Source organism: Homo sapiens, chromosome 3, assembly GCF_000001405.40.
Source record: "Homo sapiens chromosome 3, GRCh38.p14 Primary Assembly".
NCBI classification, from domain to species: Eukaryota; Metazoa; Chordata; class Mammalia; order Primates; family Hominidae; genus Homo; species Homo sapiens.
Genome location: NC_000003.12, coordinates 9890075 through 9917021, shown reverse-complemented (window position 1 = coordinate 9917021; position 26947 = coordinate 9890075). Strand labels below are relative to the sequence as shown.

At 49.9% G+C, this 26947-nt stretch overlaps 2 protein-coding genes across 20 annotated transcripts, besides 9 other annotated features; both read right to left on the bottom strand.

Annotated features, from left to right (window-relative positions):
- Positions 13–202: an enhancer, noted in NCBI's record as "active region_19412". NCBI's record gives its function as "activates an Ori minimal core promoter by ATAC-STARR-seq in GM12878 lymphoblastoid cells {active_cell/tissue: GM12878}" and the evidence as "EXISTENCE:reporter gene assay evidence [ECO:0000049][PMID:35858748]".
- Positions 13–671: a biological region, named in NCBI's record as "H3K4me1 hESC enhancer GRCh37_chr3:9958035-9958574".
- Positions 132–671: an enhancer, noted in NCBI's record as "H3K4me1 hESC enhancer chr3:9958035-9958574 (GRCh37/hg19 assembly coordinates)". NCBI's record gives its function as "activates a minimal SCP1, AML or CMV promoter by ChIP-STARR-seq in naive H9 embryonic stem cells {active_cell/tissue: H9 hESC(naive)}" and the evidence as "EXISTENCE:reporter gene assay evidence [ECO:0000049][PMID:30033119]".
- IL17RE (interleukin 17 receptor E) lies at positions 620–14929 on the bottom strand. 18 transcript variants are annotated; one of them, XM_047447458.1, is made up of 17 exons: positions 14839–14928; positions 13958–14132; positions 13610–13625; positions 12871–12990; positions 10561–10658; positions 10157–10316; positions 9922–10061; positions 8715–8783; positions 7739–7805; positions 5982–6157; positions 5848–5895; positions 5722–5767; positions 5425–5579; positions 2998–3066; positions 2423–2474; positions 2245–2343; positions 620–1771 (listed from the first exon to the last, which is right to left on the bottom strand). In XM_047447458.1, exons 2-17 carry the CDS (start codon positions 14087–14089, stop codon positions 1215–1217), a joined length of 2004 nt encoding a protein of 667 aa, XP_047303414.1. In that variant the 5' UTR covers positions 14090–14132; positions 14839–14928; the 3' UTR covers positions 620–1214. The 18 variants fall into 18 exon arrangements, 16 of the variants coding, with proteins under 16 accessions (XP_047303414.1, XP_047303416.1, NP_705616.2 ...); XM_047447460.1 differs by having other exon boundaries at positions 2423–2547; positions 14839–14919; NM_153483.2 differs by lacking the exon at positions 14839–14928 and adding an exon at positions 14330–14410.
- Positions 1242–1321: a silencer, noted in NCBI's record as "silent region_14049". NCBI's record gives its function as "represses an Ori minimal core promoter by ATAC-STARR-seq in GM12878 lymphoblastoid cells {active_cell/tissue: GM12878}" and the evidence as "EXISTENCE:reporter gene assay evidence [ECO:0000049][PMID:35858748]".
- Positions 1502–1561: a silencer, noted in NCBI's record as "silent region_14048". NCBI's record gives its function as "represses an Ori minimal core promoter by ATAC-STARR-seq in GM12878 lymphoblastoid cells {active_cell/tissue: GM12878}" and the evidence as "EXISTENCE:reporter gene assay evidence [ECO:0000049][PMID:35858748]".
- Positions 1672–1751: a silencer, noted in NCBI's record as "silent region_14047". NCBI's record gives its function as "represses an Ori minimal core promoter by ATAC-STARR-seq in GM12878 lymphoblastoid cells {active_cell/tissue: GM12878}" and the evidence as "EXISTENCE:reporter gene assay evidence [ECO:0000049][PMID:35858748]".
- Positions 13301–13970: an enhancer, noted in NCBI's record as "H3K27ac-H3K4me1 hESC enhancer chr3:9944736-9945405 (GRCh37/hg19 assembly coordinates)". NCBI's record gives its function as "activates a minimal SCP1, AML or CMV promoter by ChIP-STARR-seq in primed H9 embryonic stem cells {active_cell/tissue: H9 hESC(primed)}" and the evidence as "EXISTENCE:reporter gene assay evidence [ECO:0000049][PMID:30033119]".
- Positions 18823–19117: a silencer, noted in NCBI's record as "tiled region #14744; K562 Repressive DNase unmatched - State 5:Enh". NCBI's record gives its function as "weakly represses a minimal TATA promoter and a strong SV40 promoter by Sharpr-MPRA in K562 cells {active_cell/tissue: K562}" and the evidence as "EXISTENCE:reporter gene assay evidence [ECO:0000049][PMID:27701403]".
- Positions 18823–19117: an enhancer, noted in NCBI's record as "tiled region #14744; HepG2 Activating DNase unmatched - State 1:Tss". NCBI's record gives its function as "activates a minimal TATA promoter and a strong SV40 promoter by Sharpr-MPRA in HepG2 cells {active_cell/tissue: HepG2}" and the evidence as "EXISTENCE:reporter gene assay evidence [ECO:0000049][PMID:27701403]".
- Positions 22673–26412, bottom strand: JAGN1 (jagunal vesicle mediated transporter 1). Of its 2 annotated transcripts, none has more exons than NM_001363890.1 (2): positions 26211–26412; positions 22673–24213 (listed from the first exon to the last, which is right to left on the bottom strand). In NM_001363890.1, exon 2 carries the CDS (start codon positions 24032–24034, stop codon positions 23645–23647), a length of 390 nt encoding a protein of 129 aa, NP_001350819.1. In that variant the 5' UTR covers positions 24035–24213; positions 26211–26412; the 3' UTR covers positions 22673–23644. The 2 variants fall into 2 exon arrangements, with proteins under 2 accessions (NP_001350819.1, NP_115881.3); NM_032492.4 differs by having other exon boundaries at positions 22673–24107.

The following is a 26947-nucleotide window of genomic DNA, read 5'->3' as shown; positions in this document are numbered from 1 at the left end:
TTGGACTAGGGTGGTGGCCGCACCTCCTCCTTCTTTGGCTCTCCTCTCCCTCTGCTGACACCTGGCTGGGAGGGGCCCCTGAAGAAGACAGCGAATGCATCACGGCTGAGTAAGGGAGCTCTTACTCACCCCCGGAGCCCTAAGGAGGACACAGCCCTGGAGTCCTGGGCCCACTAAGTCTCCCCTTACTAGGCACACTCGGTCCCTTCAGACACTCTTTGGGCCTCGGTAACCCTTTGTGGGACAGGAGCTCTAAAAGCACGGACAAAAGGCACCAGAAAGTGGGCTTTTCACCACTGCCTGGCTCAAATGCGGTATGGGGAGTAGAAGGAACCCAGGACCCCAGAGCCTGGCAGACAGGGGTCCCATCTGTGCTGTTGCTGTGGGCCGGCTGTGTGATGATGGACACACCATCTGGCGAAGCCTCTGTTTTCCTCTCCTCTTGTAAGAATCACTGGGGGGGATCAAGGAGATTGCCCCATCCTCCTTTGCTTTTGGAGGCATTGCTTGTAAGAATGTGACGGATGCCATGCGGTATGGACACAGAGGATTTGGGCCAGCACACTGACACATACCCCACCAGGCAGGCTCCCCAGCCACACTAGAGAAGCACACTGTGTTTTCTTAGTTTGTCATGTTTGTCTTTATTCATCTTTCCGGATCTTGGTCCCCACCGCCAGCACCCACCCACCCCACCCCCAACCCCCACTGTCCTGACCACCTGGAGCCAAAAGCCTCTTTTCCTAGGTCCAGAGTCCTCTCTCCCTCTGGCCAGAGCCTCAGAGTGGGAAAGGGAATCCCTGGCCCCCAAGGAGGTTTTCTCTCAGCCGCCCCCTGCAATCCCCCACCGCCTCACCCTCCTTCAGAACTGACATGGCTCCTGCCTCCCTACCCCGGCCCCAACCTCTCCAGCCTGGACTGAAGCATAAGCACACTGCTCTTTCTGGAGTTCTGGAGAGGAAGTGGGAAGACCGCCCTCCCCCATCAGAACAGGGGTTAGAGGAGCTCTCAGTCAAGGGAAAGTATGAGGAGGAAGAGGGACGCGCGCGGGGACTGGGCTGGGACTTCCGGCCTGTGAGGCAGGGAATGCGGCTTTTCGGCCAGTCGTCCTCGAGGCACCCCAAGGATTTCAGGGTCGAAGGCTCATTCCGGGGTTCCAGCCAGTGTCCGTTGCGTTGCGGCCGCAGACACCCGGGACTGCGGTGGAGCTCTGCTCAACCTAGGTCTGCAAGTCGGGCGGCCTCTCGTTCGAGCCGGCTGCACAGCTCTAGGCGGCTCTGCCTGCGCTGCCGCGCCCCAAGGCGGCCCCAGCTGGTGGCCTCTGCGAAAGGCCGCGCGTCCAGCGCCCGCAGCAGACGCGGCAGGTCGCGCAGCAGGCGGTAGCGCGGCAGGGCGCGCAGCGGCGGGGGGATGTCGCCCTTGGCGCAGAGGCGACTGAAGTAAGCGAGCAGCAGCAGCGGGCGCGGGGCAGCGTGGAGCAGGGCGAGCAGGGGCGCGGCGCGGGGGTCGGGGCCGCTGACCGGGCGAAGGTCGGCGCCGCTCCACAGCAGCAGCACAGTGCCCTGCTCCCGCGCTACGCGCGTCCGCGCCGCCCAGAGCCACGGCAGCGGGCCCACGCGCGCCACGTGCCTCCCCTCCCACAGGTCCACGATCACGTCGCGCCCGCCGCCCAGCGCTGCCCGTAGCAGTTCAGCCAGCGCTCCCACCAGGCGCCGCTGCGCCTCCGAGTCCGCCGCGTGCAGGAGGAGCACTGGCCGCGCTGGGCCCGGGCCTGGTGGCGGGAAGCAACAGATGAAGGCTGGGCGGCTGAGGGACTGCTCAGCCCTCTTCTCCCCACCCTCTCGGGATACCGTAGGGTGCTCGCCTCTCCGCCCCCGCCCCCGCCCCTTATTTGCTCTGGGGGTTGGTACCGAAAACAGCCCTAGCCTATAGGGTGCTTATGGGCTAATTAGATAAAGGCACCCCTTCTGAAGAGAGGGTCAGGGCTCCAGGCTGGGCGAGTACAGCGCAGGCTGGATTTCTGCCCCACTAGCCTTTTGTACAGAGACTCAGTACAGTGACAATATGCTCAGAGGGCCCTTTGCCTTGCCTTAACCATTCCTGCTCACTTGGGGGCCTGAGGCTCCCTGCCTGGGTAACAGAGATTGGGTGCAGTGCTGAGAGCTCAGACAGGGGAGGGTGAGGGGGCAGCTAGTCTCCGAGCTGGGCAGGTCTGACTTCCCAGGTTACCCCAGGTGAGCTTACCTGACTGTGGGCGCCGGCAGGTGAGGGCCAGAACAACACCCAGTAGGGTGAGGAGGGCCAGCAGTGCCAGGATCAAGAGCCCCAGGTGTCTGTAAGAGACTGAGTCAAGCAGGATGAGGCCAAGCCCAGTTCCTCAGTGCCCAGCCTCCCTCTTACCTCCCCCTCCCCAAGAACTCACCATCCGGACACAAGAGGTGCTTCCAGGCAAACTGGACATCTGACCGCCACACCTGAGGGCACAGAGCCCCCCACCCCTATGAGCCAGGCATCTTCTCCTCCCGGGGAGCTGAGTGAAGCATGGAGCTGGGGGAGAGGGGAGTCCCCACTGGCTAGGGAATTCTTCCCAGGTGGGTTTGTGTCTGCTCCAGCTGCTAGCCTGGCACAGAACAGGTCAATGGTGGCAAACTCAAGTGTGACAGGGGCCAAACTCAAAAAGTAAACTCAAAGTTGACCAGGGCTGCTGTGAGGACCTGGAGAGCACAGGCCCTGACTGAAACAATCAGATGGCACTGAGCTCCAGGCCATTGTCACCATGCCAGAATGTGGACACACGGCACTAGGTTTTTCTGATTTTTCAACAGAGGCCAGAAATCCAGCTTTGTTTATATATGTAAATGGTGGTAAGCAATTTCAATTTAAAACACTGTGCTGGCCAAACCAAACATTTTTGCAGAATGGATTTTCCAGGGGTGGGTGCCACTAGGGGAGCAGATGCCAAGGCTCTGTATGTAGAGTGAGGGTAGGTTTCCTTACCAGGACACAGCACCCTGGCCTCAGGAAGGGAATGATGAGGTCTAGTGACACTGGGCTTGAGCCCCGGGCCTGTAGAAACAAAGAGCAGAAAGGCTGTCCCCAGGGAGGTGAATCTGGCCCTGTCTGGCCTTGAGTCTTTGCCCCTGCTGTTCCTCCCCACCACACCCCCAATCCTACGAGGCTTAGGCCAAGTGCCACCTCTGACAAGAAGGCTTCCCCAGTCACTCCGGCTCCCACTGATCTTTCCCAGAGCTCAGCTCCTGCTGCAGTCAGGTATTTGTCAACAGACAGACTCTGAGTGTGTCCTCTGTGCCAAGCCCTGAGGAAAGAAGGCGGGTGCGGACATTGTCTGTGTCCTCTAGCAGCTCACAAACCAGGAAGGCTGTCTCACTTTACTCTCCTGCACAGCTGAAGAGGTATCAAAACATATCATTGAAAAGAATGTAAGTTTTAAGGTCAGGAGACCTGGGTCCAGGCTTAACTGTTGCCTTTGTAGTCCCTAGCTTTGTGGTCCTTGCATGGAGGTAGGTTACCTCTCTTTCCTAAGGCTCACTTCCCTCATTTTTATTTTAATTTTTTTATGTTTGTTTATTTATTTATTTATTTATTTATTTATTTTTTGAGACAGAGTCTTGCTCCGTCGTGCAGGCTGGAGTGCACTGGTGCAATCTTGGCTCACTGCAACCTCCACCTCCTGGGTTCAAGCTATTCTCCTGCCCCAGCCTCCCAAGTAGCTAGGATTACAGGTGCACGCCACCATGCCCAGCTAATTTTTGTATTTTTAGTAGAGACGGGTTTTGCCATGTTGGTGAGGCTGGTCTCAAACTCCTGACCTCAGGTGATCTGCCCTCCTCAGCCTCCCAAAATGCTGGAATTACAGGCGTGAGCCACTGCGCCTGGCCTACTTTCTTCATTTTTATATGGGGGATAATAATCTTTATTTTACTGGGTTATTGAGAGCATCAAATGGGTATATGCACATGAATGTCTTTTTAAATAAACTACAATGTATATTCATTTATTGGTAACAGCTATTATTAGTCTATGAACTCCTTAACTGTGTTATATACTTTTCTTGTATCTCCCAGAGCCTGCTACAGGGTGGGCACAAAGCATACTAAATTGGACAGAATTTTAATTAAAAACATTTTTTTTAGAGTCAGAGTCTTATGCTGTCACCCAGGCTGGAGTGCTGTGGCATGATCATAGCTCATTGCAGCCTTGGACTCCTGAGCTCACACGGTTCTCCCACCTCAGCTGGGACTACAAGTGTGAGACACTGCATGTGGCCATCTTAAGCGTGACTTGGTCTTTCATACTGTGTTGCTATCACCTGTCTGCTTGGGAGCCCTCATACAATGCAAAACAAACATATAAGCTGCAAGTGAGCATTTAAGAAATAACTGTTTGAAAGAGCTAGTCATGCTTAGTCAGCGTGGTGCTGTGGTATTGAGGGTGTACTTGACTGTGGTTTTTATATCAGATACATGGAAGATAGTCTGATAAAGTGCTCCTAGTTACGTAACAGGTGAAATTTGTCAATAGTTTACAGGATTGTGCAGAGCCTGTCAGCTGCATGGGCTCTGCCTCCTAGGATAGATAACTTCTGCACAGGTGCCTCGTGGAGGCAGGAGAGTAGTGGTAGCGGACAGCTGGGTTCAAGGGAAGGCATCAGTATTAAATGTTGTTCTGTTAGGCTAGAGCAGTGGTCCCCGACCTTTTTGGCACCAGGGACTGGTTTCATGGAAGAAAATTTTTACACAGAGGTTGAAGGGGTTGGGGTTTGGGGGAATGGTTTCAGGATGAAACCACCTTAGATCATCAGGCATTAGATTCTCATAAGTAGCTCACAACCAAGATCCCTCGCATGCACCGTTCACAATAGGGTTTGCGCTCCTATAAGAATCTAATGCAGCCACTGGACTGACAGGAGGCAGAGCTCAGGCAGTAATGCTTGCTCACCCTCCACTTACCTCCTGCTGTGTGGCCTCGTTTCTCACAAACCACAGACAGTTACTGGTCTGCGGCTCACGGATTGGGACCCCTGGGCTACAGGACACCTGAATGTGGGAGGGCCAGTCCCTTGCCTCTGTTATTCCTGTAAATTCAGAAACTGAAAGGATTAGAAAATACTCCCTTAGCTTGCAGTGAGCCGAGATCGCGCCACTGCACTCCAGCCTGGGTGACAGAGCGAGACTCTGTCTCAAAAAAAAAAAAGAAAAAAAGAAAAAAAAGAAAATGCTCCCTTGAGGAACCTACTGTCAGCAAGTTAGCTGAACAGAGGCTGATCACGTAAATAAAGTAAACCAGATGGTAAAAGTCAGGGATTTGTTTGTTTCTGCCTTCCCAGGGTCTATCTCAATGAGGTCACAAGGAAATTGAGGGCTGTGCTCTGAGCAATAGGACCTAGTGGGGGCGAGGCCATACCTGGCTGACAGTGTACACGGGGGGCACCAAAGTGTCCTGCCCCAAGCCTGGGAGGCTCCAGGCAGCACTGAAGGTGGCATGCATTCTTGAGGAGAAGTGAAGAATCAGCTGCTGGGCTTGGGTATCCATGCTTACATTCCAGGATGTGAGAGACCCTGTTTGGGGCGGGGTGGGGGTGTTGATAGGAGTTGGGCTTTGGGTGATGAATTCAGGGCTGGGCTGGGGTTTAGCTTGGTTACAGTTGGGTGAGGATGAAATGGGGCAGGGGGTCCCAGCAGAGGTCACTTATTGACTCACCAGTCTGGTGGGGGCATTCAACATGGCTGCTGTTTCCAAAAGAGAACTGAGAAATACAGGAATGGCAGATTAGCAAGCTCCAGGCAATACCCACTACACCACATCTTTTCTTACCCATGGTTGTACCTTGAAGCAGAGCTGGGGGTGCAGGTCCACCTTCTCCAAAACATACCACTGTGGGAGGAGAGGAGAGTTCATCAGGGAGAAAATTCCTGGGCCCCAGCCCTGCCCACCCTGGTCCTGGGGGAACCTGTCCTCACCCCATCTGACTCTCGAGCTGTGGCATTCGGGAGGTCTTTGCAAAGGGTATGCCAGTCGTGCCTCTGGCAGAGGGCAGCTTCCAGCTTCAGTGGGCAGCGGAGTGTCAGGGCCATGACCATCTGAGTGTGCTGGCTGTAGTCAGTGAAGTGCACTGACTTCCAGAAGTCCGAGCCATCTGGGCAGGTGGCAGGGTCAGTGGGTGAGGGTCAGCCCTGCTTCAGCCCCACCTTGCCACCCACATCCTGGGGGCAGCTGGAGATAATGTTTGTAAAAGTAACCAGCACTATTCCTGGCCAGAACAGGTACTAAATCAATGAGCATCCCTTTCATTATCTTTCTTTTCCTTTTCTTTTTTGAGATAGAATCTCACTCTGTCGCCCAGTCTGGAGTGCAGTGGTGCAATCTCAGCTCACTGCAACCTCTGTGTCCTGGGTTCAAGCGATTCTCATGCCTCAGTAGCTGGGATTACAGGTGTGTGCCACCAAGCCCAGCTAATTTTTGTATTTTTAGTAGAGATGGGTTTTCACCATATTGGCCAGGCTGGTCTCCTGACCTCGTGGACTCCTGACCTTGTGACCCACCCACCTTGGCCTCCCAAAGTGCTGGGATTACAAGTGTGAGCCACCATGCCCAGCCCCCTTTCATTACCTTTCTGTTTTTTGTTTTTTTTTTTGAGACGGAGTTGCACTCTGTCACCCAGGCTGGAGTGCAGTGGTGTGATTTCGGCTCACTGCAACCTCTGCCTCCCGAGCTCAAGTGATTCTCCTGTCTTGATCCCCTGAGTAGCTGGGACTACAGGCGCGCATCACCATGCCCGGCTAACTTTTTGTATTTTTAGTACAGACAGGGTTTCACCATGTTGGCCAGGCTGGTTTCAAACTCCTGACCTCAGGTGATCTGCCTACTTCAGCCTCCCAAAGTGCTGGAATTACAGGCGTGAGCCATTGCGCCCAACCTCATTATCTTTCTATCCAGGGGTCTCTCTCCTCTCCTTCCCAGGCCTCCATTCTGGCCAGGTCCTTGCTTCTCCCCAAACTCGAAATCTGCTTAGGGTCCTCTCAGAACCAGGAATGTCTTTCCCTCCTATCTCTCCTTTCTAAGTCTTGCCCTTTTTCTGACCCCAGCTCAGGTGCCACTTCCTCTAAGAGGCCTTCTCTGCTTATAATGGCCCTTCTTGGGCTTCTCCCTTTCCCAATTTCTTGCCCTACAGCCTAGTCCTTAACCATAACCCTGCCCTGTAAGTTCTGTAGGCTGCTTTATGTGAGTCACTTTTGTCTGAGTGTCCTGCCTCTCCTTGAGAACAACAACATGCATACAGCACTTCAGACATCACCAGCCACTTTCATATGTAATATTTAACTCAGGCTTCACAAACACTTTGAAGGCAGAGCAGGTATTGAGATTTTACAGATGAGGAAAGTGAGGCTCAGAGAAGAACAATTGACAGAGCTGTGATGGGAACTGGGTCTTCTGGCCCATCCTCTTAGGACACCATCTCCTAGGCCTCATATTTCTAAACTTCTCACAGTACTGCGGTGCTCAGCGATCTCTGATCTATTGGCAAGCGGACTGGTAGACTTGGCAGCCCTTTTCCCCCCACTGACTCCAGGGAAAGTACCTGCATGCCTTCTGGGGACTTCCCCCAGCACATGTGTGAAGTGCGGGGTGTGTGTGTGTGTGTGTGTACATGTGTGTGTAGGAGACAGAAAGAGAAAGGGGATGTGTGTGCACAAGGGTGCGTGTCAACAGCACTCACAGGCTTCTGGCCAGCTCTGGAAGGGACATTTTTTGCGCCTCACAGTGTCCTCTTGCAGGTAGGATGCCTGGAGAGACGGGAGCAGGTGGGGAGGGTCAGAGGAATGGCTTTTCCAATCTCACTCAGACCTAAAACTCATTCTGGCTTTACCTTACTGTGACGCAAGCTGCCTGAGCTGGCCAGGCACTGACCGAGCAGGAGGGGGCAATGTGGGGTGGGGGCAAGGGTGGAGAGGAACTCCAGAGCATAGGAGAGGGATAAGCAAGTGAGGGGCTAACTCCTCTTCCTCCTAAAGAGAACTATCCCCAGAAAGAAGGAAATCCTGAGGTCGCATTCCTCAGCTTTGGTCTTCTCTGGCCTCCACTCTCAGCCATCCCCAAGGCACCCAGTGCTCTGTGTTGGCTCCTGACTCTGGAATGCCCACATGCCCACCTGCTGTCCACCCTGGCAATTGCTCGTGGCTCTAGGTCTCTGCCATCATCCTCCCTTAGGTCTTCCAGGTGACAATTTCCCTTGCCTTTTCTGTCTAGTCCAAAGAAAACTTTCTGCTATGTTCCTTAGACTTGTAAAGAGAAAAGGAGGACTGCCACAGAGGCCTAGAGGGGACAAGACTTTTGGGGGCATATGGATCCTGCAGTGGCCATGCACACACTCCTTCCTCGACTCCTCAGAACACACAGCAATGACAGCTGCCTATTCTGGCTCTGTGGGCTGAGGCCAGGTCTGGGCCAGGGAAAGATGGGTTTGGATGAGGCTGAGGTTGGAATCACCCTAAGAAGGTCCAATGTTCAGCAGCACCCTTCCACCTCTGACCCCATGTGTGGCTCACAGCCAAGCTGGCGCTGGTCTTCCTAAGCATGCCAGTAACACTCAGTCTTTTTAAACCCAATTTACTGGAGATATACTTGACCAACTGCGCTACCTTGGGGGCTTAGGAGCAGAGCCATGGACAGCCCACACCTTTTCCTTTGCTCACCTCTATGCACAGACAGGGCAGAAGGAATTCATAAGGCAGCTCTACAGTGTGGCCCCCAGACACAATTTTCTGTGGATGAAACAGCAAAGGAAGACAAAAGATGCCTGAGAAAGAGCATGGGCACATAGACAAGGGCAGAACAGTGCTGGGATCTTGGCCAACACACCCTGTTTTTCCTCTAATATGAGATACTTCTTCTCCTGATAAGTCTCTCAAAGGTTGTCTGCTTAGTAATCTAATCATTAGCTCTAGGTGCTCTAGGTGGAGTTGGGGGGAAGGAGACAGGGAATACATTCCTTTATTGAGGCCCTACTATATGCCAGGGAGTGTAGAGGGTGCTAGAAGTATTAAATCAATTAACTCCATGCTAGCATCACAGTGATCTTATGAGGTATCCTCACTGTTATAAAAATGATAAGCTGAGGGCCTCAGGGGTTCAACAGCAGTCCCTGCAAATGCTACCAACTGTATACAATGGCATCCATGACAAAGGGAGGTTGAGGTGGGATGCTGGGGCCCAGGTTGGGAGAATGGGAGACATATCACTCTCTGAGTGGCAGGAACAAAGGGAGGGAGATGGAAGGGTACCAAGACAGATGTGATCATTTTGTTATGTTCTTAGGCGATACAACCTCTTAGGGGAGCTGAAAAGGCTTTTTAAATTTTTAATTAACAATTCTTTTTTCTTACTTGTCACTAACTTGAAGCTCAAGGAAAGGCTTCTTAATGCCTGAATCACACTGAGGATCCTCTCATTGGGGGTAAATACCATACTAATCTCTCTGCTCATTCATGGTCATTCATGGCTGCTCCAGGTCTCTGCCTGCCTTTCCTGTTCTTCCCGGTGACAAGGCCGTCTGCCTTTTCTGTCTAGTCCAAAGAAGTCTTTAAATTTAATTTAATTAATTAATTAATTAATTTATTTATTTATTTTTAGCAGCAGGGTTTCACTATGTTGCCCAAGCTGGTTTTATACTCCTGGCTTCAAGCAATCCTCCTGCTTTGGCCTCCCAAAGTGCTGGGACCACAGGTGTGAGCCACCATGCCACGCCCAAAGAAGTCTTAATGATAGACCCTTCAGCTTGTAAGGAGGTCTTGGACAGTTACCATCCCTCTCTGGGCCTCAGTTTCCTCATTTGTACAATGGGTGGCCTCTTTTGCTAGCACTGTGTGATCGGGCTTTTTACAGGGGGATGACACACCATACCTGGACATCATAGGGACTGCTCAGCTCTTCACACTCCAGTGCCCACTGGTGACAAAGACGCACGCTGACCTCAGGGCCTGAAGATATGGTCACCCGAATAGCCCGGGCCTCAGGCAGCAAATCAAAGGAGAACTCGGGTCCTGGGGAGAGGAAGGACTCAGTGGCCTTGTCTCTTGGCCTTAGCACTGGTACCACCACTCAGCTGAACCCATCTCCTGTTGTACCCAGTGCCCACCTCCATGCCTTTGTGAGTCCAATCTGGGAAGACTTTCCCATGTCTCTGGATCCGAAGGTTGGGTCCTTTTAGAGCGAAGTCCCTTGTGGGAGATGTCTGGGGAGGGGATGGAAATGTGATGGCTCTTCTCAGACAGGTGACGACGAGGCAGCAGCTTCCTCTAAAGGCAGAGAACAAGGTTGGCCTCAGGCCAGAAATCAGGAAACCTGGCTTCTGTTTCTGCCTCTGGAACCTGAGGTACTACAGGCAAGTTGCTCAAACTCTTTTGGCCTCCCTAGCTGTGTAATAGACAGAATACTTCATCTCCACACTTTCTGTCTCACATGGCTGGAGAACCAAATGAGAGGCCAGAAAGCAAAGGTCTGTGGGGCGTCAGGTAGGGCTGGAACTGACAGGGAGAGTACCTGAGCAGGTGCTGGCATCTTGTGTCTCCTATAGAACTTGAATGTGGAAGACTTTTTGGATTTCTGCACCAGGAGGTGGAAGAGGCCCCGTTGAAGACCTGTGCAGGGGAGACGTACTTACTATCTAGCCCTCATTACCCCCTCCCCTGCCTGGAGATGTGGCCCAGTGTTAGTAAGTAATTTTATTTTATTTTATTTATTTATTTATTTTGATATGGAGTTTTGCTCTTTGTTGCCCAGGCTGGAGAGCAATGGCGCGATCTCGGCTCACTGCAGCCTCCACCTCCCAAGTTCAAGTGATTCTCCTGCCTCAGCCTCCCAAGTAGCTGGGATTACAGGCATGTGCCACCATGCCCGGCTAATTTTGTATCTTTAGTGGAGACGGGGTTTCTGCGTGTTGGTCAGGCTGGTCTCGAACTCCCAACCTCAGGTGATCCGCCCGCCTCGGCCTCCCAAAGTGCTGGGATTACAGGCATGAGCCGGCCTGATAGTAAGTCGTTTTAAATCAAGGAGGGTAAGGATGTCAAGCTTCTTTAATCTTGAAAATTATAAAGCAATCAAGAAAAGATTAATTTCTTAAGCAGAGAAAAAGCTATATATACAAAGATATTCATTTTAGCATTCTTTAATTTTTATTTTTTGGAGACGGAGCCTTGCTCTGTCACGCAGGCTGGAGTGCAGCGGCGCGATCTTGGCTCACTGCAATCTCCGCCTCCTGGCTTCAAGCGATTCTCCTGCCTCAGCCCCCAGAGTAGCTGGGACTACAGACGCCTGCCACCACGCCCAGCTAATTTTTTGTACTTTTAGTAGAGACGGGGTTTCACCATGTTAGCCAGGATGGTCTCGATCTCCTGATCTCAAGATCTGCCCACCTCAGCCTCCCAAAGTGCTGGGATTACAGGCGTGAGCCACCACGCCAGTCCCTGCCTCTCTCTCTTTTCTTTCTTTCCTTCATTCCTTCCTTTGTTCCTTCCTTCCTTCGTTCCTTCCTTCCTTCCTTCCTTTCTTGACAGGATTTTGCTCTGTCATGGAGGCTGGAGTGCAGTGGCACAATCACTGCTCACTGCAGTCTTGAACTCTTGGGCTTAAGCAATCCTCTCACCTCAGCCTCCTGAGTAGCTGGGATTACAGGCATGCACCATCACACCTGGCTAATTTTTGTATTTTTAGTAGAGACGGGGTTTCACCATGTTGGCCAGGCTGGTCTCAAACTCCTGACCTCAGGTGATCTGCCCGCCTCAGCCTCCCAAAGTACTGGGATTACCGGCATAAGCCACTGTGCCCAGCCCTGTAGCATTATTTCTAACAACAAACAATTAGAAAAATTAAACACTGCCTATTCTTTTTTTTTTTTTTTTTTTTTTTTTGAGACAGGGTCTCACACTGTCATCCAGGCTGGAGTGCAGTGGCGCTATCTTAACTCACTGCAACCTCCACCTCCTGAATTCAGGTGATCCTCCCACCTCAGCTTCCCAAGTAGCTGGGACTTCAGGTGTGCACTACCACATCCAGCTAATTTTTGTATTTTTTTGTAGAGATGGGGTTTGGCCATGTTGGCCAGGCTGGTCTCAAACTCCAGGACTCAAGCGATCCACCCACCTTGGCCTCCCAGAGTGCTGGGATTACAGGTGTGAACCATCATACCTGGCCCAGAAACTGCCAATTCTTTTTTTGGAGATGGAGTTTTGCTCTTGTCGCCCAGGCTGGAGTGCAATGGCATGATGTCGGCTCACTGCAACCTCCACCTCCTGGGTTCAAGTGATTTTCCTGCCTCAGCCTCCTGAGCAGCTGGGATTACAGGTGCCTGCCACCAGGCCCTGCTAATTTTTTGTATTTTTAGTGGAGACAGGGGTTTCACAATGTTGTCCAGACTGGTCTCGAATTCCTGACCTCAGGTGATCAGGCTGCTTCAGCCTCCCAAAGTGTTGGGATTACAGGCGTGAGCCACCGCGCCTGGCCTAGAAACTGCCAATTCTTAAGCAATGTAAGGGCATTTAGTATGTACCAGGCACTGAGCTGAGCAATTAAAATATAGAGTAAGAAAGAAGATCCTGCTCTACAAATAGATGGTAATAACAATAAATCCATAGCTTTTAATTCCAAGAATCTCAGCTGAAAAAAAACCTTCATAAAATTGTACAATTGTATTTGTGAATATCAGTCATAGCGTGCTATTTTAGGATAATCCAAGTCCCAGTTGAGGTTAAAACAAGACAAATATCTGTTCTAGTAAGTCCCACTTGCTCAGCCTAGGTGGTCCCTCAAAATGTTCTCTTCACTGAGAATGGCCCAAGGGGCTGTTTCTCATACCTGAGCCACCTGACAGCAGATGCTGGCACAAACAGCGGGAACAGTGCCAGACTCGCACACACCAAGGCTTTGTGGAGAAGAGGGCCCACCAGGTGCGGCAAGGGATATAGGCAGAACTTCCTGGGAAAGATGGAAGGGAAAGCAAATGATAGGGTCTAAGAAGGTCCCTCCTACCTCCAACAAGCTGGATTTGAGGCCAAGCTCTGTCACATCCTGGAAGTATGACTTTGGGGGTTACAGGACCTGTCTAAGGATCAGATTCCTCATTCATAAAGCGGGTCTGTTATAAAAATCAAAATTGTAGTGTATGGGAAAATGTCTTGTGAAGTAGAACATACCATAAAATAGGAAGGATTATTGTTGTATTACTGATAGAAGTGAGGGATCAGTTAAGGGGAGGAGCCAACATATATGGAGAACCTGGAGATTTACTCATGTTTCTCATCTAATCCTCTCTACAGATCAGAAGCAACACTGCCTTTAGTGTACAATCATTTCTACTATGCTACTACCCCTCAGAAACTGAGGGTCAGTTGGAGGGGTTAGGTGCACAGTCTGAGGCCACACGGGAGTCTGGCAGAACTGCAATGTGAACCCAGGCTTGTCATGATTCCAAATTTTTCCTTGATATTGTGCTACTTCCCGGGTTGGGAACTGAAAATTAGAATGGAGGGCTTGCTAGGCATCTGCAAAAATAGTGGGCGTGGGGAGGAGCAATGGGGCAGGAAATGCGACTCACCAGTGAAACTGTCATCCTGAGGCACAGGGCCCAGTAGGGAAAAGAAAGGAAAGAGCTATTATTAGGAGAGACTCCCATAAGGCACATTCCTGGGGTCTTTGCTTCAAATCAGCAAATTCTGAGCCCCATAGCTAATAGCCCATACCTTCTGGCTCTTATCTTCCCAGCTCCACCCTGTCCAGGCCCTCAGCACAAAGGACCTTGGCTACCCCTTTGAGACTAGGTAGAGGACACATCAAAGCTGCCACCAGAGCACAGGGACTGCGGAGGTAGCACAGGGCAGGCAGGGGAGTGGGGAGCTTTATGGCTGTGCCAGGCAGGTGTCCCTACCTGGCAGCAGCACCTTACCGTGTGGGAGGCCAGAGGACAGCGGGTGTTCCAGTGGGGCAGGTGGCGAAAGCCAATCCCAGCAGAGTCAGAGAGGTCGATGACTATGAGGAGGAGAGGCAGGAGCAGGGCTGCCAGTCTGGAGCTCCCCATGGGCTTCTGTGCAATTAGGGCTCCCGGAACATGGCTGCATGGCCTGAAGGTGGGTGGCAGGGCCTTGCTGTGCAGCAGCGAACACAGTACCAGCAGGAGCCCTCGCCCCAGCCTGCCCTGGCCCCGCCCTGCCCGAAAGCTCCTCCTTGATCCCAACCAGCCAGCCAGGCCACATTCCTTCCCCTCCAAGTGGAGGGACTGAGGAAAGCTTGTGCCCCCAAAAACCCTACTGCCCCCCACCTGAAAGACAAGGGGCTCCTGCTGTGGGTGAGAAGTAACAGGAAAGGGGCTAGCATCAGGTTGGGGGACGCACCCATTTCTTAGCCCCTCCTACTCCTGAAACACACTGCAGATCTGATCCACCCATCAGCACACTCTGGAACTTGTGTCTCCCATAGACATGCGCTTCACCCCCTCACTTAGAGAATTAGCCGAGCTCTTAAGCACTACTCAGCACTGGGTGCTGGAGATACAGAGGTGACTGAGGCACCATTTAGAGTGGGGAAGAAAAAAAGCACTCTAGGATGCACATGAAGCCCATATGTACCCTGGCTTCCCAACTGGTTAACTCTCAGGACTATAGCCGAGTTCTCTCTACCCATGAGCCAGGTCCAGCTCTTCTAGGCAAAGGGCTCCATACCAAAGGGGCCTCTAGCTTCAAGGACCCACTAGTCAGTACGCCCTGCTCAGGAAGCCCCAGAGCTCACAGCTGAGCCCTGGAGCAGAGGGAGCGGGCCCCACACACTGACCTGGTTTCCTGTGGTTTCCGGTGCTGGAGAAAGGCTGACGAGGCTCCATCTTTGTGGGAACCCTCCCCATCATCCCACAGCTTCCTCCCCTTCATGGAGCATTTGAGCAGCTTCAGCCCTCACCTTGGTAACACACACACTGGAAAGAAAGTTTGGGGCACACCTACCAGGTCAAGGCATCTTTTTTTTTTTTTTTTTTTTTTTTTTTGAGACTGAGTCTTGCTCTATTACCCAGGCTGGAGTGCCGTGGCACAATCTCTGCTCACTGCAACCTCCACCTGCTGGGTTCAACCGATTCTCTTGCCTCAGCCTCCTGAGTAGCTGGGAGTACAGGCACCTGCCCCATGCCTGGCTAATTTTTGTATTTTAGTAGAGACAGGGTTTCACCATATTGGCCAGGCTGGTCTCGAACTCCTGACTATGTGATCCACCTACCTTGGCCTCCCAAAGTGCTGGGATTACAAGCGTGAGCCACGGCGCCCAGCCAAGGCATCTTGAGATTGTTATTGTCCCCCTGCAATTCAATCTAGACCACCTTTCAGTGGCCTAACCACAGCCTGCTTTTGGCCAATTCTATTCCTGTCTTTAGGTTCATTGTCTGAAGGCTGCATCCTACCCATTATCCTAAAAGTACCCTCTAGCTTTTTGAGTTCATGAAAAGATAAAAACTCTTATTCTTTATGTTTCTCCAAGCCTAGCAGTAGATATTATGAAGTATGTGCTGTGTAATTGAATAAATGTCATGATACATTTCATCTATGTAGTTTATCTGTTTCACACTTCACAAAACACTTTTATATTTAATCCTCCTAACCCTACCTGTGAGACAGGTAAGTGTTAATTATTGTTTTCATTTCATAGAGAGATAAGGAAGCAGAGGGATAATGATTTGGACAAGGTCAAAGTCTATAGTTCAGGGAGCTCCCCTTTTGCTAGGCCCTCGCAACTCAACTCTCTCTTTTTTTTTTTTTTTTTTGAGACAGAGTCTCACTGTGTCACCCAAGCTGGAGTGCAAATGGTGCAATCTCAGGTCACTGCAATCTCCACCTCCCAGGTTCAAACGATTCTCCCGCCTCAGCCTCCCGAGTAGCTGGGATTACAGGTGCACGCCACCACACCAGACTAATTTTTGTATTTTTAGTAGAGACGGGTTTCACCATGTTGGCCAGGCTGGTCCTGGACTCCTGACCTAAGGTGATCTGAGCCCAGCTTGGCCTCCCAAAGTGCTGGGATTACAGGCATGAACCACAGCACCTGGCTTTTTTTTTTTTTTTTTTTTTTTGAGATAGTCTTGCTCTGTTGCCCAGGCTGGAGTGCAGTGGTGTGTTCTTGGCTCACTGCAACCTCCGCCTCCTAGGTTCAAGTGATTCTTGTGCCTTAGCCTCCTGAGTAGCTGGGATTACAGCTGTGCACCACTATGCCTGGCTAATTTTTGTATTTTTAGTAGAGACAGGGTTTTGCCACATTGGCCAGGCTGGTCTTGAACTCTTGGCCTCAAGTGATCCACCTGCTTCAACCTTCCAAAGTGCTAGGATTATGGGCATGAGCCACTGTGCCCGGTACCAATTCTCTATCATCCTATGGTCTTCCCTCACACAGCCTCATCTTCCTCTGCTCTTGGAACCCAAAAGGGGCTGCCTGACACAGACCCTAACACAGTATGCCTTTTGGCCTTGAAGTCCATCTCTGCAAACAAAACAGTAAGATCTGAAAGGAGGAAAGGGTGGTCTGGCCATACTAAGAATAGGTTAGAGAGCCTTCCCCCAAATTCTACCTAACTCACAGTGGTTTAGAGCTATATAAATATGAGGTTTCTTTCTTTTCTTTTTTTTTTTTTGAGACAGAGTCTCACTCTATCACCCAAGCTGGAGGACAATGGCGCAATCACCACTTACTGCAGCCTCAACCTCCTGGACTCAAGTGAATCCTCCCTTCACAGGCACACACCATTTTGCCTGGCTACATATAGGGTCTGGCTATGGTGCTCAAGCTGGTCTCAAACTCCTGGCCTCTAGCAGTTATCCTGCCTCAGCTTCCCAAGGTGCTAGGATTACAGGTGTGAGCCACTGTGTCTGGCCAATAATGAGTTTTCTTTTTTTTTTTTTGAGACGGAGTCTTGCTCTGTTGCCCAGGCTGGAGTGCAGTGGTGCGATCTCGGCTCACTGCAAGCTCCGCCTCCCAGGTTCACGCCATTCTCTTGCCTCAGCCTCCCGAGCAGCTGGGACTACAGGCACCCGCCACCTCACCCGGCTAATTTTTTGCGTTTTTAGTAGAGAGGGGGTTTCACCGTGTTAGCCAGGATGGTCTCAATCTGCTGACCTTGTGATCCGCCCACCTCGGCCTCCCAAAGTGCTGGGATTACAGGCGTGAGCCACTGCGCCCGGCCCAAATAATGAGTTTTCTAATGCTGGAGGCATGAAGTGAGAAACTTGGTTCTATTCCAAAACAATCCTTCTTCTTTACCCTTATCTTCTGATCTCTCACAGAGAAAATATTGGTTAATTGCTTCTGGTTAAGGTATGGGAGGAGAAGCAGAAAAGAAATGGAGATAAGAAGGAAGAGAGGAAGGGAAAAAAAGGAAGGAAGGAAAGAAGGGAGGGAGGGAAGAAAGGAGGGAGGGAGAGAAGGCAGCAGGGAGGGAAGGAGGAAGGGAGGAAAGAAGGGAGGGAGGGAGGAAGGGACGGAGGAAGAGAGGAAGGGAGGGAAGGAGGATGGGAGGAGAGAAGAGAGGGAAAGAGGGAAGAAAGGGAAGAAAAACAGCATTCCAGGACCCGCTGGAAAAGTAAAAGGAATAAAGGTGAGGAAGAAAGGGGGAAAAAGAAAAGGACGTGTGCATTTTATTTATTGTCTTGCTGGTTTACTTATTTATTGTAGAGACTGTTCCAAAAAGTATTTAAGGTAAGAAGCACAGGGGTGAATTCTGGCACAACCTAAGGAAGGGGAGGGATGGGATCAACATTTGCTGAAATCCTACTATCAGGCTCTGAGTCATGCATTTTGCCCAGTTTATTTTATTTGTACTACAACCCTTGAGTTCACAGTCTTATTACCCCATTTTACAGACTGCAAAACACTCAGGAAGATTAGGTAAAGTCCAAGCACACACACCTAAGAGCTGAAGTCAGCCCCTCACTTGCTGATCTCTCTCCTACGCTTACGCTCTGAGTTCCTCCCCACCCTTGCCCTCACCCCACATTGCCCCCTCCTATTTGGTGCCTGGCCAGCTCAGGCAGCTTGCGTCACAGTAAAGTAAAGCCAGAATGAGTTTTAGGTCTGAGTGAGATTGGAAAAGCCATTCCTCTGACCCTCCCCACCTGCTCCCGTCTCTCCAGGCATCCTACCTGCAAGAGGACACTGTGAGGGGCAAAAAATGTCCCTTCCAGAGCTGGCAGGAAGCCTGTGAGTGCTGCTGACATGCACCTTGTGCACACACATCCCCTTTCTCTGTCTCATACACACACATGCACACACACACAATCACACTTCACACCTGAGCTGGGGGAAGCCCCCAGAAGGCATGCAGGTACTCTCCCTGGAGTCAGAGGGGGAAAAGGGCTGCCAAGTCTACCAGTCCGCTTGCCAATAGATCAGAGCGCTAAACACCGCAGCACTGTGAGAACTTCAGAAATATGAGGCCTAGGAGATGGTGTCCTAAGAGGATGGGCCAGAAGACCTGGGTTCCCCTCCCTGCCAATTTTTCCTCTCTGAGCCTCGCTTTTCTCCTCTGGAGACTCACCGCTATGTCTTCCTGGCCTTTTCTGCCAGAACACACTACTTGGGGAGATCAGAGGGTTTCTGGACCCTGTAGTTCACAGAAGTTACTAAACTTAGCAGTGTGATACAATTGGCAGGGTTAACAATGTAAAGAAAGAAATGAAAGTGTTGGAAAGAAAGGAAAGTAGATCTTATAATAATGTTACCAGTGGTTAGACTTGTAGGAGAGTTGGGATTGTTTGGCAAGTGTCAACAAGGGAGGAGTAACTGTGGCTGGAATAGGAGGTGGCCAATTGGAGTAAAGCAACAAAGGTGTGTTGTAGGGCTTCAGCACAGAGGCCCTGTCTTCTTGGCAGGTGGCTAAGGCCTGTCTCATCTGTGGTTTGTGTCAAAATGAGCTGACCAAGACTTCATGATTAATGATTAATAGCCTTTACTTGGGAACAAAGCCAGGAGCTCAGGAAGTCCTGGCAGGCCCCTGCACATGCTTAGAGTGCACTGTAGGGACCTTGGGCAGCCATTTTTCTTGTCACCGCCTTATCTGTGCATGAACTCTGGTCAGACCATGGAACAGTAGCTCCAGGTTCTTCCTGTAATGGCCAATTCCTAACGTCTACTGGGGCAACTCTGCTCACTGATAGGGAACCCTGGGCAGGAAGGCCCACCAATTAGATCAATGTACACCAACAGTGGGCGAGTATCCCTTCTTTACATCTGCTCTTCCAGAAGGATCAACCTCCAGAATTCTGAGGCAAGAAATTATTGCTGAGAGGTAGAGACTCCCAATCTCAGCGAGGAAGCCAACACTGCTCAACAAGGGAAGGCATTCTGTTACTTATTAAACCCCTACTATGTAGCCTGTCCATACATATTATCTAAGCCTCCCAACAATCCTGGGGGTAGCTAAAATGATGCCCATGTGTCAGATCAAGAACAGAGGCTCAGGTATCTTGCACAAGGCAAAAGTTAGTAAAATGCCTGGCTGGAATTCCCACCTATGTCTGTCTAATGTAAGAAACTGTTGGCTGGGCATGGTGGCTCATGCCTGTAATCCTAGCACTTTGGGAGGCCGAGGTGGGTAGATCACTTGAGGTCAGGAGTTCGAGACCTGGCCAACATGGTGAAACCCTGTCTCTACAAAAATACAAAAATTAACCGGGTGTGAGCAAAGGTTGCAGTGAGCTGAGATTGCACCACTGCACTGCAGCCTAGGCGACAGAGTGAGTCTCAAAAACAAAACAAAACAAAACAAAACAAAAAACACTGTTCATTCCATTATACCACATTGCCTTTCTCATGGCCTGGATTATCTCTAATAGTCCCTTCAACTCCTACATTCTCTCCTCCTGTAAAGATCAGGAAATAACCATCTTTCATATTTATATAATGATACATAGTTCATAAAGCAGTTTCACAATATTTCAACTTTTTTTTTTTTTGAGACAGAGTCTCATTGTGTCACTCAGGCTGGAGTGCAGTGGCGCGATCTCGGCTCACCACAACCTTAGCCTCCTGGGTTCAAGCGATTCTCCTGCCCCAGCCTCCCAAGTTTAGTACCTTCTGTGAACACACTGCTAAGTTTAGTACCTTCTGTGAACTACAGGGTCCAGAAACCCTCTGATCTCCCCAAGTAGTGTGTTCTGGCAGAAGAGGCCAGGAAGACATAGCGGTGAGTCTCCAGAGGAGAAAAGCGAGGCTCAGAGAGGAATAATTGGCAGGGAGGGGAACCCAGGTCTTCTGGCCCATCCTCTTAGGACACCATCCCAAGTAGCTGGAAGTACAGGCACCCACCACCATGCCCATTTGTATTTTTAGTGGAGACGGGGTTTCACCATGTTGGCTAGACTGGTCTCAAACTCCTGACCTCAGGTGATTCGCCTGCCTCGGCCTCCCAAAGTGCTGAGATTACAGGTATGAGCCACTGCGCCCAGCCACATTATTTGATCTTTAGAACAATCTGTGAAATAGGGAGGGTTGATTTTAGTCCTATAATTGGTAGGTGCATTGGTACTTGAACATATCTTCTGATTCAAATAATGTTCTTTCTACTAAATCAAGATTCAACAAGGGAATCTTGTTTGCTTCTGGAACACTACAACCATGAGGCAGGAAAAGGTGATAGGAAAGGTCCACAAAAGCAAAATTCCGACAACCTAACAAGCAGAAAACTAACATAAACCAAATGGTTTTGGTTTGTTTACATTGTTGACAATAATTTTCATAATGGGTCTTTGATAGTACTCTAAGTCCATAAAGTGCCATTCCAATAACCAAAGAAATTTCAAACTATTTGCATCCCAATTCTTTAAAAACGAGCAATCTGTGTCTGGTGCACATACTAACTCCATTATCCATACATTTCCATCTACTACTGCTCTCCAAATTTTCTCTCTACTTCAGTTTGGTTCTATCCTCTGTGAAATACACCCCGACTTTAGTTTACAATAATCCTGTCAATAATTCCATGTGAGGCTGGGCACAGTAACTCACATCTGTAATCCCAGCACTTTGGGAGGCCAAAGCAGGATGATCATCTGAGGTCAGGAGTTCAAGACCAGTCTGGCCAACATAGTGAGACCCTGTCTCTATTAAGAATACAAAAATTAGCCAGGCATAGTGTCACATGCCTGTAATCCCAGCTACTCAGGAGGCTGAGTCAGGAGAATCGCTTGAACCTGGGAGGGAAAGCTGCAATGAGCCCAGATCGAGCCACTGCACTTCAGCCTAGGGAACAGGGCAAGACTCTGTTTAAAAAAAAAAAAAATTAGGCCGGGCGCGGCGGCAGGCGCCTGTAATCCCAGCTACTAGGGAGGCTGAGGCAAGAGAATCGCTTGAACCCGGGAGGCGGAGGTTGTAGTGAGCCAAGATCATGCCACTGCACTCCAGCCTGGGCGACAGAGTAAGACCTTGTCTCAAAAAAAATAAAAATAAAAAAAATAAATAAAAAGAATTGCATGTTTTTCACACCTCCTGTGCAGCACCTAAAAGCAGTAAAATAAGAACTCAGAGAAGGAATTCATGTTCCTTGAATTGAAGGAACCAGAAAGCTCAAGAATTGCCATATTAACTGGGCCTTAAAGGATAATTAATAAAGCAGTATAAAAATAGAAAAGGGAAATTTTTAAGCAAAGGAAACTGGGAAACCACGAAACCTACATGGGGATCCATAAGAGGTTTAGTTGACTAAGACAGCATGAGACTAGGGGTATTGGGAGATAATGCAGGACTGGTGGATTGGGACCACTTTGGAAACCTCAGAGCTTAAGGCATTTAAGTTGCAACAAAGATCATAGTAGGGACTTAATGATCATGGAACAGATAATCCAGAGCTGTACTCTTGGTATATACTCACTTGAACAAAGGGATGCAGGAAGAGGAATGGGTATGAGGCAGAAACACAAAGGTCTGTTTGGGACATACTTATTTTGAGATGATAATTAGGACATCTAGAGGAAGAGGTTTTAGAGTTGTAAGTACTGCCAGCCAGGCGCGATGGCTCACACCTGTAACACAAGCACTTTGAGAGGCTGAGGCAGGAGAATCACTTGAGCCTGGTAGGTAGAGGCGAGCCAAGATGGCGCTACTGCATTCCAGCCTGGGTGAGGGAAATGAAACACTGCCTTTAAAAAAAAAAAAAAAAAAAAAAAAAAAGGCCAGGCACGGTGGCTTACGCCTGTAATCCCAGCACTTTGGGAGGTTGAGGAGGGCGGATCATGAGGTCAGGAGATCGAGAGCATCCTAGCTAACACGATGAAACCCCGTCTCTACTAAAAATACAAAAATTAGCCGGGCGTGGTGGTGGGCACCTGTAGTCCCAGCTACTTGGGAGGTTGAGGCAGAATGGTGTGAACCCGGGAGGCAGAGCTTGCAGTGAGCCGAGATCGTGCCACTGCACTCCAGCCTGGGCGACAGAGCAAGACTCCGTCTCAATTAAAAAAAAAAAAAAAAAAAAAGTGACTCAGTAATGACTAACTACATACACAATGTTTCTAGAACAAAATAATGACTACATCTCTGGAGAGGGCAGAGCTCTGCAGTTACAGATCTGGGCATCATCCAGAGACAATAAAATCAAGTGCAAAGAGACACATTATCTTTCATGCAATAAATACTGCCAGAATTTTAGGTGTGAAAGGGCCTTTAGTTTAATCACAGATCTCTTCCTTCCTGTTTTTAATGTACTTGCTCCACATCATTAGATATTATGTTCACTGTTTCACATGAATAACAAGTTTCTACTGAATTGTAAATCCCTATAAACCGAGGTACTTTAAAATTCTTTTGGATGCCATTATACAGTAGTAGACTCATAACTGATACCCAGTTAACACTGAAAGATAAATGTGAATATCCAACTAAAAGAAGAGCCCATAACCTAAGGTAGATAAATGAGAATGGACTATTTCATAGATGGAGAGATTAAATGTCTGGCCCATAGTTCTTACCAATCAGCTGTAGGTTACAACTATGACTTAGGTTCCCCATACCCAGTCTACTTCTCTATGGCCACTGCTAGGTTTCTCAAGGAGCTTCTACCCATCATCTCCTAGTGTCTAAGGCCACACCTTTCAAGCAACACACCTTTCACACTCTATCAAGCCCCAAACACAAGGCACAGTGTGGGCAGGGCCATCTTTATTGAGGTTTTTAATTAAAATGCTTTGCAGAGGAGACCACAGCCTGCCAAGGGAGCAGCTGCCCAAATGTTTCCTGACCCGTGACCTAGAGATGAAGTAATTTGATTTATTCCCTATTTCCTTTAGTCTCAATGGCTAAGGGGTAATGGATGGAAATGGGGAGAATGACCGAGTAGAGGCAAGGACGAAGCTCATTCTTAAAGAAAAACCTCAAAGTTCAACTTCAAACAGCTGAAATTTGTTTCATAGCTGTTGGTCACCCAGTTCTAGCCAACCAGGAATAAATTATAGTTTTGCCACCTCAGCAGATGGCAAAAGGAGCTTTCCAGAACTTTGGCCTGGTCTGCACCAGGTACCAACATCACAGCTGCTAAAATCACCAGAAGGGATTTTGGAACCGCTGTACTAGTGTCCTTTCATTCGATGGGATGTCCAGGCTTCACCCCAAAGAGGCTTCATTTATGCTTCTTCTCCTGTGTGCTGGTGAACCAAGAGTCTAGGAGCTTCTTGCTGTAGTACAACTGCCAGGCATGCACTTGCACTGCCAACACCAACACCAGGTACATGATGGAAACGGCAGAAAAACCAAAGAGGAAACGGTAGGCCTTGCCATGGCGGTAGAGCTGCTGTGCAGCAGGGAACATCTCCATGCTGCCATAAATGAGTGGAGCGATGGAAAAGAGTCCCATGCTGATCATGGAGAGCACCAGGTAGCTAATGTTGTTGCGGGGAAAGGAGAGAAGGCCCAAGAGAGAGGGCAAAATGCTCAGCAAATACGGGTATTCCCACTGATAGGGCATGGCCACCTGATCATGTGACAAGAGCCTCAGGTGTCCCACGCTCATCTTAGCAACCAGCAGCAGCCATATGACCAGATGTACGTAGATCAGCTTCTTGATTTCATACTTGAGAGTCACACTGTGGGGCAGAGCAGAGGGAGAAGTATCTTTCAAATTTTTCTTACCACCAACTATATGCCAGACAACTGTACTGGACACTGGGATACAAATTTGAATAAAACAGCCTAGAAGCCGGACACAAAGAACAGAGGAGGAAAAAGTAATTAGAAAATGAAGTGAAAAAGTTCTAGTAAATATATGTTCCCAGATATATGGGATCACAGGAAGGAGGAATCAACTCTGCCTGGCATGGAATGTCAGAGATGGCTATCTAGAGGCAGGTGATATCTGAACTAGGCTCAGGAATGAGTGAAGATGGGCATCCCATGCAGGAGCATGCAGACAAAAAGGCCCAAGTATTTGTGTTCCAGGAAAGCAAGTGGTTATGTGTGGCAGGAACATATTGTTAGGGGGAGAGGGGTAGTGGGATATGAATCACAAAGACTATGAGAGTTAAAAGTAGAAGAGGCTGGGCTCACAACTCTAATCCAAGCACTTTGGTAGGCTGAAGCAGGAGGACTGCTTGAGCCCAGGAGTTCGAGACCAGCCTGGCAACAAAATGAGACCCCATCTCCATAAAAAAAAAAAACAACAACAATACTACTAATAAAAAGGCAGGGCTGGGCGCGGTGGCTCACGCCTGTAATCCCAGCACTTTGGGAGGCCGAGGCGGGCAGATCACGAGGTCAGGAGATCGAGACCATCCTGGCTGACACGGTGAAACCCTGTCTCTACTAAAAATACAAAAAAATTAGCAGCACGTGGTGGCGGGCGCCTGTAGTCCCAGCTACTCGGGAGGCTGAGGCTGAGAATGGCGTGAACCCGGGAGGCGGAGCTTACAAGTGAGCTGAGATCGCGCCACTGCACTCCAGCCTGGGCGACAGACCGTGACTCCGTCTCAAAAATAAATAAATAAATTAATAATAATAATAAAGGCAGAAGGGTAGCTCAGAGCTGTGTTTAGCAAGAGGACGCTGACTGCACCATAGGATTAAAGTCTGGCGGGAGAAGGTATTGGCAGAGAGGAAACGTACTCAGGCCGCCCATACTTCTCCAGCTAGATTTTTTCATCCAAAAGAAGTACATACTTATCTTATTCTTCTAATTCTCTCACGTCCCAAACGTATCCTCCTCATATCCCTAAAGGCAATGTTTCTACTCTGGGCTGGCATGAAAACACCTGCTTAAGTTGTGAGGGCCCTTTCAGCCGGGGCCTAGAGATGTGAAACAAATGAGAGTTCAAAGAGCTTGTCATTCTTTAAAACTCTGGAGAGAGAGATGTGAAGAACATTCTGGGAGAGATCAATGGATTTAAGGAAGTAAAAATTTTAAAATTTTTATTTAAAAATATTTATTGTAGAAAATGTGGAAAGGTTGGAAAAAAAAAACAGTCATCTCTAGACTTCAAGCTCCATGAAGGCAGGGAACAGTTTTTTTTTTCTTTAATAAAATTGTTTATTGAAGGTATAACATGTATACAAAGACCACGTCTGCTTTTGCTCACTATTATAACCTAGTGTCTAGCAGTGTATGATGTTTGGAAGCTCAGTATTTGTCGAACTAGTAATTGAATGTAGAAATACCCCTTACGTGGGAGTGTTTATAAAATTCATTTTAGGCAAGGCGTCCTTAGGAAAGGCTGCCTTTTACTGTCTATATCCCCCCAAACGGCCCAAAATATAACACCTACCATATATTACGTGGTAGGCCTTATGCTACTTTCTTTACACGAATTACTGATTAATCTTTCACCAAAACCTAAAAGGCAGATTATTCTCTCCCTCTACAGATGAGGAAGCTGAGGCTCAAATTAGAAATTCGGTTTCGAAGGTGATACAGCGGGGCCAGCATCGACGTGACTCGGGAGCCCACGCAGGGCGGGAGCCCACGCGGGGCTGGATCCCCTCAAGGCACCGGGCGGAACAAGGGGTGGAGCTCGCGGGGGCCACGGGGCTTTCCAGGATGGGGGACAGGCCCGAAGCCGTCACGGGAGGAGGGGACTTGGCAGGTGAGCGGGGGCTGGCTGGGGAGCAAGACCCTGAGGCCGGGCCGGCGTCGCTCCCCAAGCCCCGCAGGCTCCAGCGGGGGAGAAAGCCTCCGTGCTCCTCGCCTCACTTCATACCTCATCTGGTAGTGCATGGCGACGCGCTCCCGGTGCTGAAAGTCGCTGCCGTCGGTGCCGGCCGCTCGCGGGCCTGCTCGAGACGCCATTGTGCCTGCCCAGAACCCCCGAACCCCTCACGCGGACCTGGTACCGCAACGACACCGCCAAGCGGCCCACTGACCCTATTTGCGCCCCCGCAGCCGCGCGGCTCCGTGAAGAGAACTTCCGGCCCCTCTGTCTCTGGAGGACCGACTCTATGGTCACTCCTCTCCGCGCAGGCGCCCTCGTTCCCTCTCGCCCCCGCCCCGCCCAGCCCCGCCTCTTGTGGAGCGCGCAGGAAATTAATCCCCAGCCTCTTTTGCTGGCGCCCAGAGGCCGCTTGAACACTTTTACTTTCTTAAGCTGTAATATCAGTTAGGATACTTCTGTCCACACTTTACAGAGGGGGAAACTGATATATTCTATGACTTTCCCTGGAGCACACATCATTCACACAGCCTCACACCTTTAATCCCAGCACTTTGGGAGGCCGAGGTGGGTGGATCACTTGATGTCAGGAGTTCAAGACCAGCCTGGGCAACATGGTGAAATCCCGTCTCTACTAAAAATACAAAAATTAGCCAGGTGTGGTGGGTTCCTGTGACCCCAGCTACTTGGGTGGCTGAGGCAGGAGAATCGCTTGAACCAGGGAGGCAGAGGTTGCAGTAAGTCGAGATTGTGCCAATGCACTCCAGCCTGGGGGACAGAGTGCAGAG

Bases quoted from the DNA above. Each gene is read 5' to 3' on its own strand.
- JAGN1 (NM_032492.4), bottom strand. From the start codon at position 26,299: ATGGCGTCTCGAGCAGGCCCGCGAGCGGCCGGCACCGACGGCAGCGAC. The intron at 24,108-26,210 runs GTATGAAGTGAG...TCTGCCCCACAG, and splicing joins GCCATGCACTACCAGATGAG to TGTGACTCTCAAGTATGAAA.
- IL17RE (NM_153483.2), bottom strand. From the start codon at position 14,406: ATGGGTGCGTCCCCCAACCTGATGCTAGCCCCTTTCCTGTTACTTCTC. The intron at 7,806-8,714 runs GTGAGCAAAGGA...CCGTCTCTCCAG, and splicing joins TGCCCTGTCTGTGCATAGAG to GCATCCTACCTGCAAGAGGA. The intron at 5,768-5,847 runs GTACAACCATGG...TGTATTTCTCAG, and splicing joins ACCCCCAGCTCTGCTTCAAG to TTCTCTTTTGGAAACAGCAG.